At 41.5% G+C, this 16,767-nt stretch overlaps 1 gene segment (V, D, J or C) and 1 further gene; both read left to right on the top strand.

The window, feature by feature from the left end:
* The window catches only part of IGH (immunoglobulin heavy locus), a 1,293,408-nt gene that overhangs the window by 881,430 nt on the left and 395,211 nt on the right, over positions 1-16,767 (top strand).
* Positions 11,396-11,833, top strand: IGHV1-2 (immunoglobulin heavy variable 1-2). The segment is given in 2 exon segments: positions 11,396-11,441; positions 11,527-11,833. Coding segments are annotated over 2 exon segments (353 nt in total), but the record flags the coding sequence as incomplete, so codon positions are not given.

Below are 16,767 nucleotides of genomic sequence, written 5' to 3'. Positions count from 1 at the left end.
TTGAAAATTAACGCCAAAAAGTTTTTTAAAAAATTTTTCAAATAGAAAAGTTCTATCCTGCCTAGTTTAAAAAAATACAATGTTACTTTAATCAATGATTTAATAAAAATTTAAGTGATGTTTGTCTTATTAGTTATTCAATTTATTAATAACTGACTGATATTTAAAAAGTAAATACTGGCTGGGCGCAGTGGCTCACGCCTGTAATCTCAGCACTTTGGGAGGGTGAGGTGGGTGGATCACCTGAGGTCGGGAATTCGAGACCAGCCTGACCAACATGGAGAAACCCCCTCTCTACTAAAAATACAAAATTAGCTGGGCGTGGCGGGGAAGCTGAGGCAGGAGAATCGCTTGAACCTGGGAGGCGGAGGTTGCGGTGAGCCGAGAACACGCCATTGCACTCCAGCCTGGGCGACAAGACCAAAACTCTGTCTCAAAAAAAAAAAAAAGTAAATACCATTGTACACTTAAGTAATATATTTGGCAAGAATGGCATTTACATTCATTCAAAAATGAAACTGCAAATACGAGTTACATTCAATTAAATAATTAAAATAATATAGAAAAAAATGGGTGTGTTGTTTTGGTGTTTAATATACATTCATTTTTGCATGGACGGGTATATGTGTCATTGCTGGGCTGTTGTGTATGTGTGCGTGTGTGTGTGTGTCTGTGTGTACAACTATGAAGTTTAAAATATATTATTAAATTACGTAGTTATATTAATCCAAATTTATCATGTTAAAATATTAGGAAAAAAACACCAGTAGAGAAATTACAGAGAACATCAGCAATGCCTACAGCATTTACAAGAGTCACATTAATAACAAACAAACTAGTTCAAATGTTTAGATATGACACATGCAGTAGAAAACGTTCACATGGTATTAACACAAAAATGGTGCACAACTGAGGAAATTATAATACGTTCATGATATTGGCTACATAAATGCTTATGATAGTAATGCTTTTCATCCATCAAATGCTTATGATAATGCTTTTCATCCATCATATTATAGATGATAAAACAACTCTATAAACACTTCCATCACTAGCGTTTAATATGAGATGCCTCACATCTTTTTCTGAAATAAATAAACATCTGTCCACCACTTCGATGATCATTTCAGGATTATCCTCTGAAATAATTATCCATAATAATTTTAGTAACAATTTTATTATTTTCAGAAGCCTATTTTATAAGGTCTTTGAACTATTATTTTTATGATTGTTACTTTATATTTTACACACTTTTTATTTGGAATAATTATAGGTTATCAGAACAATTGTAAGGAAAATACAGTGTGTTCACATCCATCTCCAAGTTTTCACTAAAGTTAATATGTCAAAAAAAACATGGGACATGGGACTAATATATTTACATTGATAAGTTTCTGTTTATTCAGCTCTGGGATTTATTTGAATTTTGCCAATTTTTAACAGTTTCCTTTTTTCCTTTTTCTTTTCTTTTTGAGATAAGGTCTCACTTTCCTATTGCTTTTTGTTTGTTTCTTTGTTCAACCCAGGTAACCACATCAAATTCAGTCACCATGTTCCTCTCATATCTTCTGGTTAATCACAGTTTGGGTTCCTGCTGTCTTCCCATTGAATATTCTATAAATGAAACTAGTCAAATAAGTTGATTCTGGTCACTTATATATTTACCTATTTTATCACGTTTGTTTTGTCAATCACAGTAAGTGTCGAATTCGCTATCTGTTATAGATGTTAGCCTATTTTCTATCCCAGATCCATTGGTTAAATCTTTGGTGATGCCTTTTAGAAAACTGATCCCTTTACCCTATGTAATATGCCCCTTGATTCCTGAAAGTCTTATGTCTACCTTGTCTGAATTTAACATAGCTAAGCACGCTTTCTTTTCATTCATATTTTCATAGTCCATGTTTTCCTGTATTTAACTTTTCTATGTAGAGCAAATTTCTGTACAGAGCTAGTAGTTGGGTCTTGCTTTTTAAATCAACTATAATAAATTCTATTTTAAAACTGGTATTACTATTTTTCTGTTAATTTCTATTTTAATTTGGCATTTTATGATCATGTTTATTTCTCTATTAACTTATTGTTTAGCTCATCTTTTATGAATATTGTATTGGCCCTAAGATATACAATAAGAATTGTGTATAATCAGATTCTAATTCAAATAACGTAAAACCTCTTCATAGGTTGTAGAGCTATTATAACTTATTCTTCTAAACCCTCTTTCTCATCCGTTGTCTTAGTTTATTCTCAGTTTGCACTTATATGTGCTATAAAATATAATATGTGCATTTTTATCATTACATAGACATATATTAGAACAATTAAAAATATAAAAACTACATTTCAACTTCATTTTTTCATTCTTGACCACATTTTTTATTTGGATAGATTCATGTTTCGGATGTATATCATATGGCTACTCACCCTGGCGGAAAATTTGCCAAAGCACCTACTGAAGGATGAATGCACTAGCAATAAATTTTCTCAGAATCGATTTGTCTTACAGGGTATTCATTTGACTTTCGCTTTAAATGAAATTTTTAATATATATAGAATTCCAGTTTGACTTTAATTTGTAATTTATTTTCTTGTACTCATGTATTCATTATTTTCTTCCTGAAGATGGTAACACATTCCATTCTGCTGGGCCTTCATTATAGATATTTGTGTGTATCTATTCAGGGCTATATTTGCAATTTATGGATGCCACAATTATCAGAGTTGAAGTCAGCTTCTGCTGTCCACAGAGATTTCAAGTTCCTCCCATGATACTTGCTTTTGTGTCCCTGTTTGATCCTGGGTCTTTATATTTAGTTTTCCCCAGGGAGGCTGTCTGTTTCAGCTGTGGAAAGTGCACCCTACTGACAGTTTAAATTGATGACTGTGTGGTGAAGGAGGTTGGACAAAGCGGGACTTCCTCCAACCTTCTGACTGAGTCTCCTTCTTATGCAGGAGTAGTAAGCATAGTTCTGGGGAGTGGCCTTCCACATTGTCCTGTCCTTAACTCTTTCCCCAGGGCTGGAACGTCTTTTCCCAGACACAACTGTTTTTCACCAGTGTCCCCAGCTTTTTACCCACTATCCTTACCCTAAAGAGTAAGGATTTCTTTCCTGAGGAAAGAGATAGGAGGTGTTTCTGGATCAAGTTTCCTTGGTGTCGTCTGTTTCCTTTTGTTTCTGTTGACTTCACCACAGCTCATATGACACATGCTTTGGTGGATTTCCCCTGGAGGTAGTGGAGGTGCATTCAGGCATTCCACAGGAGCTGCTGTTCTTTTCCCCAGTCAACACCACAAGACACCAGATGAGGAAGTTGTCCGTGGATTTTTCAAGTTCTCTAGGAAAAGCTTGCAAGCACTAGGCCAATCTAACACCATTAGTACATGCATACTAAAAAAAAAAAAGTCATTAAGTATTTCTAGGTTAGTCTGTTTCTATCTCAAATGCCATCCAGTGGCACCTGCCCTATGTACACTAGCAGGTAGGTCCTGGTTCTCTCTGCAGGCTCCTATCTTCTCAGATTTCAGTTTTCTTGTTTGCTTGGTGAAATCAACTCAGATATGTTGAATGTTTTTTCTCTCTTTTATTTGTAGCTGTTCAGCTTCGTTGTTAATGAGGTCAGAATAAAATCACAGTTTTCTCATTTTTTTCACATTCCCACACTGAATAGCTGCTTTCCGTATAAAAGCCAGAAACTGAGAGAACACATTGAATATCCATTACAGGTGAATGTTAAACAATTTGAGATATGTTTGTGTACTGGAATAAAATGCTGCATTACAATCAAGTCATCACTCATTCACATAAAACATGGCCACATTCTCAAATAATGTAGGGACCTGAGTGCCCCTCCATCTACTGGCCTCTCCTGGGGCCCTAGCCTGGCCACACCTTCTTGCAGGGCAGTCTTGGACGCCCTGGGATCCCGCACCAAAATTTCTGCCCTGGCAGAACATGCCTGACTGGTGGAGAGCTCCAATCGGGCAGCCCTCATGTGCACACACCAGCTTACACACTTCCTCCGAATACTGTAGGTTCACCCAGGCCCACGTAACTTCCCACATCACTTTGCAGTCACATGTCTGTATAGGTGGGTTTTGCTTTTCTTGTCCCACCATTGCGTGGAGTGCAGTCCCCTCCCCCCACCCCAACCACCATGGCAGAGGAAGCTTTGGTGGGGAAAAAGCCAGGGCCGCTCCTGTCAGCGTCCCGCACTTGCGCTAATTCTGCACAGAGAATAGCAGATCATCTCACACATTCAGAAATCACTCCTGCTTGTGGGGCATGAATACGGCACCCGGGCCTGTGCCCACAAGTGTCCCATCCCTGAGCCAACACCTCCTCCAGTGTGACCTTGAACACAGTCACCAACAGGGCCCCACACACCCACAGACGCAATGCCTCTGCCACTGTGGCGAACACCTGCAGGGAGGCAGGCACCCAGACACCCACTAGCACTCTGCCACAGCTGCCACACCTCCAACAGCCCAGGACAGTGGATTCCTAACCTTAAGGAGCCGGAGAACCAAGTCAGGGACTAGTATAACTTCCCCCAGAGTCAGAGCACACAGTCTAGGTGTTGGGAGCTGAGCACTGGCCACCTAAATTTTTCCAGAAATGAAGCCAGTTGGCTGAATCCACCTTATACCACAATCAAACCCTCAAGGTCATCCAATAGGGTAAAAGAAAATAAAAATGTATCCAAAGGTCAGCAACTTCAAAGATTGAAGGTGGATAAGCCCACAAAGATGAGAAAGAACCAGTGCAAAAGTCCTGAAAACAAAAAGGGCGCCCTCTTTCCTCCAAACAACCACAGCACCTCTTCAACAGCAGTTCTGAATGGGGCTGAGATGGCTGAAATGACAGAAACAGAACTCAGAATATGGAGAGTGAAAATGTAGATGAATACAGCTATTTATGGAGAATACTATAAATGTTCCTCAAAAAATAAAGAAACAAAATCTACTGTAGAATCCAGCAGTCTCACTGCTGGCTATGTATCCAAAGGAAATGAAATCAACATGTCAAAGAGATATCTGCACTCCATGTTCACGTTCATTGCAGCATTATTTAAAATAGTAAAGATATGGAAACATCCTAAATTCCCATGAATGGATGAATGAATAAAGAAAATGCATACAGACACAACAGAGTAATGTTCATCCTTAAATAAGAAGGAAACCCTGCCTCTGTGACAGCATGCATGAATCTAGAGGACCTTATGCCAAGTGAAACAAGCCAGGAACAGAGGAAGAGTCATTCATGATTTCACTGTATATATTAAAGCAGTAGACTTGCAGAGGTAGAGTAGAATGTTGGTTACCAGGGCCTAGAGGGGTGGACTGGGAAAGGGAGATGTGGGTTAAAGTGCACAACGTTCCAGTTAGACAGGAGGTATAAGTTATGCCTTTCTAATGCACAGCATGTCAACTATAGCTGATAAGGTAGTATATATTTCAAAATTACTAAAAAAATAAACATTAGAATTTCCCCACTAAGAAATGATAAATTTGTGAGGTGATGAATATAAGCGGCTTGAGTTACCCAGTTCATAATGTATACATGTATCATAACTAAACAACATATGTCATAAATATATGCAAAAATTATTTGTAATTTATAATAAAATAAGTTTCATATTTAAATAATTACATTAAGAAAATGAACAGAAACTTTCAGATTTCAAGAATATTTTATATATATATATATATATCTTAAAACAAACTTGCAACAGAATATAGAAATAAGTTTTACGACTCAATGGAAAAGAACAGAATTCAATAAAAACTGGCTAAAAGAAACAACAGCTGCATCATTATAGAAAATTCTGGAATAATCAGCCATATAAAGATTCTCACTCTCTTAGAACTAGAATTCCGTAGGACTTGTAATTCCTCCTGACCTGGGTGGGAGGCAAAAGGAAGAACAGCTAATGGTGATTCAGTGAGTTTTATACCTGTGTGTACTTCTGGGCTCACTCAGCAGAAAGAAAAGAAGAAAAGAAAGAAAGAGAGAAAGAAAGAAACAGAAAGAAAGAAAGAAAGAAAGAAAGAAAGAAAGAAAGAAAGAAAGAAAGAAAGAGAAAGAAAGAAGAAGGAAGAAGGAAGGAAAGAAAAGAAAGAAAGAAAGAGAGAGAGGGAGAGAGGGAAGGAAGGGACAGCAGAAGTCATTGTGGTGTGTGTGAAAACACAATCCTTGGGCTCCCCCACATCCATCTCTACTCCAGTCCCATCAATGTCCAGCAAATACATTTTCTAAGATGAAGTATTTTAAACTTTCTAAATCCTGCTAGAAAACCCCTCAGCTCTTTCAGTTTTGCTCTATCACTTGAATTATTGAATTAAATCTAGTTTTTGTGGGCCTATCAATACCATAAGCCAAAATAACACATGAAGAAATTGCACTGAGACACATGAAAACCTTCTGAAAGCTCCATAATTTCAGATCTGCATTCTTATTTCCCCGAACCTAAATCACTGAATAGAGACTCAGAACGAGTTGATCTTGTTCCTGAACGTGCACAGAGCCAAGGACATCCTGTCTGTCTGGAACAGCTCAGGTTTGTTCCTGTTTCTCCTAGAGGATATAAAATCTTGAGTTAGGGAAAAACAGCCAGGGACACCCTGGGCTTTGTTCTTCTCTCCCCTGGAGGCAGGATGTCCTTCAGAGCTTTGTCCCAGTGGGTAACACAGCTGCTGAGGTGTACAACCCACGTGGCCTCGTTTTGGTCACTTTTGCATGGTGAGCCTGCTTTGCACCATGGCCTACAATATGCGTGTGTAACTAATCTGTCTCCATCTTCAAAATGACATTATTCCACATCAAATCTAGTGCAGGTGCCTCACACAGAACATTCTCAATTACCTCCATCATTCATAAAATTGATGCCATTAATTTCAAGTATACATACATCAGACTCATTTAACGTATTGTTATTCTCATTGTTTGAAACATAACTTTTAGATCAAATAATTAACAATAATAAAAATATAAATTTTGAAGTCAGGTAATGTGATTTCTCTAGTTGTGTTCTCTTTGCTCAGAATGGCTTGGGCTGTTCTGCATCTTTTGTTTTTCCACATATATTTTAGGATTTTTTAAAAATTTCTGTGAAGAATATCATTGTTGTTTTCATAGGGATTGTACTGAGTCTGTAGATTGCTTTAAGTATTATGGACATTTTAACAATATTGAATCTTTGAATTCATAAACATGGAATATTGTTCCATCTTGTGTCCTCTTTATTTCCTCAATGTTTTATAGATTTATTGTAGTTTTTTTTTACTTTGTTCATTACACATTGTATGCCTGTACCAAAACATCACATATACCCAACAAATAGAAATATATATACTATTATGTGCTTATAACAATTAAAAATTATGTATGTATATTGAATCTATTCAAAATCAGAAACTATTTCTTTTTACTGTTTGTAAGGTCTTGTCTCTAGGCTATAAAAAGAATTTGTAAAACTCAACAGAAAGCATAATATAAACAGAATTCTAAAATGAGTGAAAATCTGAACAAACACCTCACCAAGAAAAAATGTTATCTGAAAATAAGAATATATAAAATTGTTCAGTATCAATTGTCATAAACTGATACTCATATTTACCAAATACAAAAGTAAACATGATGTATTTCAACAGAATTGATTCTCAAATATTTGTATACTCATACAGTGGAATACTATCAGTCATAAAAACTATGGGTTATTAATTCAGAAGACAACATTTTAACATTTTTTCTAAGTGAAGGAAGATGGACAAAAGAGACTAAGTATTGTACAATTCCATTCATGAGACCTGCTAAATACAGTAAAATTAAAAGGATTTTAAAAACAGGTTTGTGATAGGCAGGGCTTTTGGGGAAAGACAAGAGACTGACTTGGCAAAGCTCAGGGGATATTTTTAGGGTAAAACAAACTGTGTGCCATTGTGATATGCCTAATTTCTTATTATATTTGTTCAGAGTTAATAGTGTACGTTTCAACCAACTCGGTGATTTTATATTTTCTATTTGCTGATAGAGACATGTTCATTTTTGTCAATCACTTTGCTAAATGTGGCTGAGAGGCTGTTGAAATGAACGCCGAGCAAATGTATTCACCAAATCTACAAGAGCAAATTATTTGCCAATTGCTGATTGAGTGGGGTCTATAATGTATTTGAGATTGGGTGTGGGGATGTTATTGTGTGAGATCATGATGTTTAGACCATGACACTCTCTGGTGAGGGATCACTCATTCATTGCACATTTAATGAAAGGCAGGTAGGAGGAGCAGAAGGGGATGAGTCACACTCCTGACCACAGCCACAGGTTATTGAAGGCAGAACTGATGTAATCCCCTAAGGTAGACCACTGCCCCTCCAAGGTGACCTTATCCTAGAGTTGACACACATCCTGGGACACCAGAGACAACTCCTTCTCTCCCCTTTCTCTGCACTTCAGCTGGAAGCAACTGTCTCACCGAGCACCTTGTGTTAAGGAATGAGAGTTCCTGTTCCAGGTGTGAGGGCCCAGGTGCATCCACTTGATCCAGCACAAGAGCAAGAACAGCCTTCCAGAAAATGACATCGCCTGAGGTATAACCAGCTCTCACCTGCTGCAGCTTCCTCTGAATAAAAAGGAAACTGTTGAAACTTCCTCATAAGTGTCCTGCTGTGCCATTCCCTTTGTCCCCACATGTTCAGTTGTGTCTGTCCAGATGTCACTTTTGTGTAGGGAGATTAGGGTTCTGCTTCCAGTACCAGAACACACATGACCTCTTAGGGGACTTCAGGGTTTTGCTGACATATGTGATGATCTTAAAAGTCATTAGCTCCATTTCTACATCAAAAAACATCTGAACCAGAGGAGCACATAGGCTCAGGCCTGTAATCCCAGCACTTTGGGAAGCCAAGGCAGAGGAATCACTTGAGGTCAGGAATTTGAGACCAGCCTGGTGAACATGGTGAAACCCCGTCTCTACTAAAAAATATATACAAAAATTAGCCAGGCGTGGTGGCACTAGCCTGTAATCCCAGCTACTTGAAAGGCTGAGGCAGGAGAATTGCTTGAACCCAGGAGGTGGAGATTGAAGTGAGCTGAGATCGCACCACTTCACTCCAGCCTGGGCGACAGAGTGAGCCTCCATCTAAAAAAAAAAAAAAATTTATATATATATATATATATATATATAATAAATATATATTATATATTATATATATATTTTATATAATATATATGTATATTTTTATATATTATACATACATATTTATATATTATATATAATATGTATATATAATATATAATATGTATATTTATATATTATATAATATGTATATTTATATATATTATACATATATATTTTTATATATATATATCTCCAAACCATCTAAATATCAAGTATTTTTTAATCCATCTAAGAGCTGAAATTGCTGAAAAAACTACTCCCTCCAAAAGCTGTAGAGACAGGCACATCCACAGTCACAGCAGAGACTTGCTGACTTGGAAGGGAAGCTCCTGGAGACACATTGGTGAGAACATTTACCTGGTGATTATGCTGAATGTCTGGAGGACAAATGTGGACTAGGGGGAGGGTGAGCACTCCTAGAGGCTGTACACCCCACACTTGTGTGGACTTGCCCTCCAGGGCCTTCAGGTTCTCGTGGAAGCAATTAAAATAGATTCCCTATAGCCATGAACTGGGGAGGAGTAATCACGGAGAAAAGATGCACAAAAAGACTTTTCTAGAAAGCTCATCCAAGGGAAGGTATTCTCCAAAATCTTAGTTTATGTGGGGGAAGGAAATACTTCCAAATTACAGACCCCTCCTCCTCAGCCTTCCTCTATCACGCAAATGATAAAATTAGCCAAGAGGAGTCAGATTCAAGGCGGTAGCCCTGGGTGCAGCATCTGCAGAAGGGAGGAAAGAGAGAAAATCAGCTGTATCACTGGAGATTCCTTGTGAAGGTCACTGCTCAGGAGAAGAGGGCAACCAAACCAGGGAGAGTCAACTGTAAGAACATACCATGCTCCCCTGCCCCACACATTACCTCCTCAACAGCATCATTAATATGGATTAAAGAGGGCAGTGTGATTGCTTTAGATCTGTTTGAGAAAGAAAGTCACATACTGAGGCCTAGGGTCAGGGTCGGCGGCACTTCCCGTGAGTAAGATACTACGAAGAAGGAAAAATTAGGGGTCCATAACTGTGAAAATCAGCCACAGTGTGTGTGAGAATGTTTGTGTTTGTGTTTCTGTGTGTTTGAGTAGGAGTTATTGGAACAGCGGACGTGGAGTGAGCTTTAATCCACATCCATCTGCAGCTTCAGGTATTCTCAGATGCAGTATTCATCTGCAAGAGCCGAAATGAGAAAAGAGCCACCTCCAACCCCCCCAGAGTTTTAGCCTCCCTTTGTTTCCAGTGATCCAGTGCATCTAGACCTCCAGGAAGTGGACTCCCTGGTGATTTTAGCGATTCTTCTCTTGGAGCCACCCTGAAGAGGACATTGGGTTTCCAAAGGCCCATTCACTATTTCAAGAGGTGGTGTCATCAGCTCATGTTGTCACTGAAGGAGCATTCTGAGCCAGGTCACAGTCACTTCCTAGTGAGCTACAGAGGCTGAGAGAAAAATGCTCTGTGAGACCCAATGGGAAGCTCCCTGCAGTGCAAGGTCTGGGTGGCAGGGAGCGCTAGGGCCTCGCCCAGCACAGGCTGCAGCCCTGGAGCAGGTGCAAGGGAGGCTGGGGAGGGGTTCCTCCCAGGGTCTGATGTCTTCCTTTTCTCGGACAAACATGCTTTAATAAGTTAAACAAGACTTTAGTAAAGACTATTGATGTGTCTTTGTGTCTTTCAGTATACAGTTCTATTTGTAGGATTTATCTAACCTAACAAGTCAATGAGAATCACATGTAAAAGGAGAAATTTCTAGGATTTTCAGATATCTTAATAGGTAGGAGATGGAGAAAAGGGATGGTTTTATTAATTCAGTGCTTGCCAATCTTAACAGAGACAGTAGTAAGACATGCAGAAAGCAAAGCCCAGAAAAGTATGAAGGTGTCAAAGTGCCATTTAAGTATGGGTTCACTTGGAGGACCATGTTCTGCGGGAACTTGTTTTCAGCAGACAATCTATTTTAGCAGAGTTCTGGGCATACAAGGGGACACACATCATTAAACAAGGATTGGGACAGGGACTTCAGCGTCCCACTGTTGCATGGCCCATAAATTATGTGTGTTCTCTTTCTCATCTTGGATCAAGTCTAGAGCTATGAAATAGTATCCCTCATGAATATGCAAATAACCTGAGATTTACTGAAGTAAATACAGATCTGTCCTGTGCCCTGAGAGCATCACCCAGCAACCACATCTGTCCTCTAGAGAATCCCCTGAGAGCTCCGTTCCTCACCATGGACTGGACCTGGAGGATCCTCTTCTTGGTGGCAGCAGCCACAGGTAAGAGGCTCCCTAGTCCCAGTGATGAGAAAGAGATTGAGTCCAGTCCAGGGAGATCTCATCCACTTCTGTGTTCTCTCCACAGGAGCCCACTCCCAGGTGCAGCTGGTGCAGTCTGGGGCTGAGGTGAAGAAGCCTGGGGCCTCAGTGAAGGTCTCCTGCAAGGCTTCTGGATACACCTTCACCGGCTACTATATGCACTGGGTGCGACAGGCCCCTGGACAAGGGCTTGAGTGGATGGGATGGATCAACCCTAACAGTGGTGGCACAAACTATGCACAGAAGTTTCAGGGCTGGGTCACCATGACCAGGGACACGTCCATCAGCACAGCCTACATGGAGCTGAGCAGGCTGAGATCTGACGACACGGCCGTGTATTACTGTGCGAGAGACACAGTGTGAAAACCCACATCCTGAGGGTGTCAGAAACCCCAGGGAGGAGGCAGCTGTGCTGGGGCTGAGAAATGAAAGGGATTACTATTTTTAATGTTGTTTACAGTATGTCATTAATAAATTGAAAAAAAGTAACAATAGAAGTATATACTCTAATTATATGGGAACTTTGTTTTTTCAGTTTTTTCATTTTTTTTTTTTTTTTTGGTTTGTTTGTGACAGAGTCTCACTCTGCCACCCAGGCTGGAGTGTAACGGCACAATCTCAGCTCACTACAACCTCCACCTCCCAGGTTCAAGCAATTCTCCTGCCTCGGCCTCCAGAGTAGTTGGGATTACAGGCACCCGCCACCATGCCCGGTGAATTTTTGTATTTTTAGTAGAGACGGGGTTTCACCATGTTAGCTAGGCTGGTCTCAAACTGCTGATCTCAGGTGATCTACCCTCCTCAGCCTCCCAAAGTCCTGGGATTACAGGCGTGAGCCACTGCGCCTGGCCCAATTATATGGGAATTGTTTATATAATTATCACCCTATAAGCAAAATTCATGGAGGAGGAAAAGCTCTACTGAAGAAAGCTGATACCGGCATTCCCATGAAAGTATCTGTGTAGAAGTAAGTATTAAAATCAGTTGAATAGGCAAGGCATGGTGGCTCACGCCTATAATCCCAGCACTTTGGGAGACCGAGGCAGGTGGATCACAAGGTAAGGAGTTCAAGATCAGCCTGCCCAAGATGGTGAAACCCCTTCTCTACTAAAAATACAAAGAATTAGCTGGGCGTGGTGGTGGGTGCCTGTAATCGCAGCTATTCGGGAGGCTGAGGCAGAGAATTGCTTGAACCTGGGAGGTGAAGGTTGCAGTGAGCCGAGATCACGCCACTGCACTCCAGCCTGGGCGACAGAGTGAAACTCCATCTCAAAACAAAACAAAACAAAACAAAACAAAAAAACAGTTGAATAAAGTACCTTAGAGTCATCTGTTCAATTAACATGTTTAACTCCAAAGAAATACTGAAAATATTTTCCAAAAAGGAAGTGCCATTTTACGTTCCTACCAACAGTGAATAAGATTTTCTTTTCTGGAGCCTTGTCAGTATTCACTAATGCTTTGCTGTGCAGCCGTTGTAATATTATAGTAAATGAGTAGCAGTATTTAATGGTTGTTTTAAATATACATATTCTTAATACAAAGTCTTGATGAACACTTTTTTATACATTGTTTTATGAGGTGTGTGTTCAGATCTATGTATGCCAGAAATGCCTGGCAGCGTTAATTTAAGCACACTGTAAGAATGACCCTATAGTTTATGAAGAATGTATGTTCAGAGCTCTGAGCTAAGAAATCCAGGAGCTGTCAACCCAGAAGTTTATTCCTTGTCTGTGAAGGACATCTGAATCCCTGGCCTATCCCTTGGAACACAGGATGTCCAGGTGATTGATGCTCTTTGTTAAATCTGGAGGTTGCTAGGTAGAGGGTGCTAAGTGAAAATCATAATATAAACTACATGTGTTTTACAAATGGTAGTGGTTTTCCTGTCCAACACACTTTTCCTGGGCCACATTGTATGCAAGTCCTCAATACACCCTAGGTCTTGTTCATGGGCTCCAGGTCTCCTCTTCAGCCTTTTGGACATGGTGCCACGCCTATTACAGTCAATAGGGGTCTAGCATGACAACTGGTAGGCCCAGAACAAGGTCAAAGAAAATCCTGCAAGCTCTTAGACAACAGCGTCAAGGAAGGGGAGACCTGTGAGGAAATCCCAGGCAGGCCATGCACATCTCTGTGGGCCCAACAGCTGCAATCCTTGATGGATGGGGCCCGCTGCATGTGTACGGGGATGCCTCCAAAATGCCAAAAGTTCTGGAGGACCTGTTGCCTGAGGTGGATGTGACAATGTGACAAAGTGACAGTCAGATTCCTGAGCTGTGGCAGCTGTTGGCCACTCCTGACTGCACTCTGAGCAACCACTGAGGCAGAGCTCATTGCACAGGCTAGGGTGTGTCAGCCACGAGAACAGTTGTAACTATAATGAGATGCCGCCTGTAGGGATAGGATAGCAAATTGGAGACTATTGTTTATTTGGTAGGCCATTTAAAGTGTTGCTGACTGCCACACCAATGCATTAGGACTACTATGACTACGTCATCCTGGGAGCCTAAGTCCTGGCGTCCGATGTAGAGCTCCAGTGGGAAGGAGATGAAGGTTAGGATGAGTCCATAAAGGTTCTTGCTCTGCAGCCCCTGCTTTGCTGTCTCACTTGGTGAACAGAGGATGGGAGGTCAATGCGGACAAAGTCCAGGGTCCAGGCTTATCAGTCAAATACTTGGTGTCATCTGGTTACATAAGACTATAGTTATTCCATATTTCATCATAGATAAGATAAGATGCAGGTCTACTCATGTCCCACCACACCAAAGCAGTTGGAAACCTCCCAAGGCCTCCTGGGACATTGGCGATCCTTTATTCCCCATTTCGGCAAACCCCTTGGGCCCCCATGGCACTTAGACAAGAAGGTGCCCCACTGCGACTGTTCCAAAAGGGAGGATGAGGGCTCTGAAGAAGCTGAAGTCACAGTGAAATGAATACAAACCTTGGGAGTTCTAGTGCAGGGACAGCCCTGTGAATTGGATGTAGTCAGTTACCCTGAGGGGTTTAGGTGGGGACTGTGTTAAAGGCAAGGACATAAGTGTGTGTCCCTAAGACCCTGGTCTCAAAGACAGAAGGAAGCTGAAGTGAGATATACTGTTTAGGAGTAGCAACTGCACTACATGTCATGCCTTACGAGTGTAGGATGTGACAAAGAGGGCCACTCCACATCCGGAACAACCTTTAGCAGGCTGGCTAAAGGATGCCTTCCAGACACAAAAGCCTTGGAATGCCAGGACACAGTCTGTAGCCAAATGGTACTTGTGGTGGTCACCACCAACATAAAAGTGGGCCAACTGTGCCAGCAGAAGTTAGCCCCACAGAACTTTCCCCCACCTAAGAGAAGGCAGTGCACCACAATGCGGAATTCCACCACTGTGGAATTGGGGGAGCTTAGAATTGGATTCAGACACAAGGGGAGAGAGTGGATCACAGGGTGGCTTCTCTATGGGATAGGGGGTGGAGAGTATTATACTCTCTGGACTCAAGATGAGTAAAATGACACCCATCACAAACCATCCAGCCCTATGATGGCACCTTTATGGTAAGTGGTTGCAGGCTCCAAGGGGGCCGGGTCCAATGAGGAAGATGCCCCCACAGCTCGTTCTCAATGGCAGACTATAGAAGAGTTGCAGGATATCTTCTGGGAGTCGAGATGAGGCATGCTAATTATGCTGAGAATTATTGAAGTCCCAACAATGAATTGTTTACTGCAAAATAAAAGCTACAGTTATGTATTCAGTGCCTACCCAATGGCATGGTGCACTGATTTCCATGTTAAGCCCCCTGGGAGGGCAGCCAACATTTCATGTGCCCCAGGTAGTTGCTGACTTAGGAGAAAAGAAGAAACTGAGTAAGCAAGGGATGCACCCTACTGTGATGAAGAACAATGGCACCAAAGGAAGAGAGACAGCCAAGGAGCCAGTCAGGGTGGCCAGACAACGAATGTGCTCTAACTGGCAACACCTACCAGTTCTCTGGGCCCATAGCGGCAATAGGTGGTTATGGAAGGGCCACGGAAGTCAGACCGGTTGAACTAGTGATACGACCTGGGGGACTGCCACCCAGACCCTGTGTAGTATACACAGCTTCCATCCTAGAACACATGAGAATGGATATCTTCTTAGGCGTGACCCTCCAAACAACGGCCAGGGAATTCCAACGGAGAGTTAGAGTGGTGATGTGTGTGACCAAGCAGAAGGCAAACTGGATGCCAGTAGAGCTGCCAACCCATGGGGAGTCCCACAGCTGGAGCAACACCACCTGCCCTGGGAGGGGAAGATGATCCAATCATGAAGATTGTTAAGGAGCTAGCCCAGGTAGGCATTAGGAGGCCACTGCATGGTTCCTACAACAGACCTGCATGGCCCATGCAGAGGCCAGTTGAGACATGGAGAATGACAGTAGATTACTGGGAGTTAAATAAGGTGGTCTCCCGAGTGAATGCAGCTGTTCCTAATATCTCCTCCAGTCTGACGAGAATAGGAGAGGTGTTAGCCACGTAGCATTTCCTTATCAGTTTAGTCAATACCTTCTTCAGCATTTCTGTTGCCCCAGAGTCAAGATCAATTTGCATTAACCTAAAAAGAACAATGGACTTTTACTGTCTTGTTCCAGGGATATTTACACAGCCCAAATCTCACAGCCTAGTGACCTCCAACCTCAGTCGATGGGCTGACCCAAAGGGGATACATGTTTTCCACTACATTGGTGTTATCATGATAACCTCTGAGTCTTTTTTCAGCTTATAAATTACAGCCCCTGTCTTGCTGTCTCACTTGCTGAATAGAGGATGGGAGGTTAATACAGACAAAATCCAGGGTCCAGGCTTATCAGTCAAATAGTTGGTGTCATCTGGTTGGGTAAAACTAAAGTCATTCCATCTGCCATCATAGATAAGGTGCAGGCCTACCCACGTCCCACCACAACAAAGCAGCTGCAAACTCTCAAGGCCTTCTGGAGCATCAGTGTCCTTTTATTCCTTTTATTTGACATCCCTGAAGGAGGCTGCTAGGGGAGACTGTGTCCCTCCTAAATTCATGTGCTGAAGTCCCAACCCTTGGTCCTTCAGAATGAAATCATACTTGGATTAGTGTCCTTTAAAGAGGTGAATAAGTTAAAGTGAGATTCCTGGAGTGGGGCCCTAATGCAATCTGACTGTTGTTATAAGAAGAGGAAGCAGGAGGGAGGGTGCACAGGCCCCGAGGGACGGCCATGTTACCACAGAACAGTGAGAAGGCGCCATCTGCATGCCAGGGAGCGAGACCTCAGAGGAAACCCACCCAGC

Source organism: Homo sapiens, chromosome 14 (genome assembly GCF_000001405.40).
Source record: "Homo sapiens chromosome 14, GRCh38.p14 Primary Assembly".
NCBI lineage: Eukaryota > Metazoa > Chordata > Mammalia > Primates > Hominidae > Homo > Homo sapiens.
This window is presented reverse-complemented; position numbering and strand designations above follow the sequence as displayed.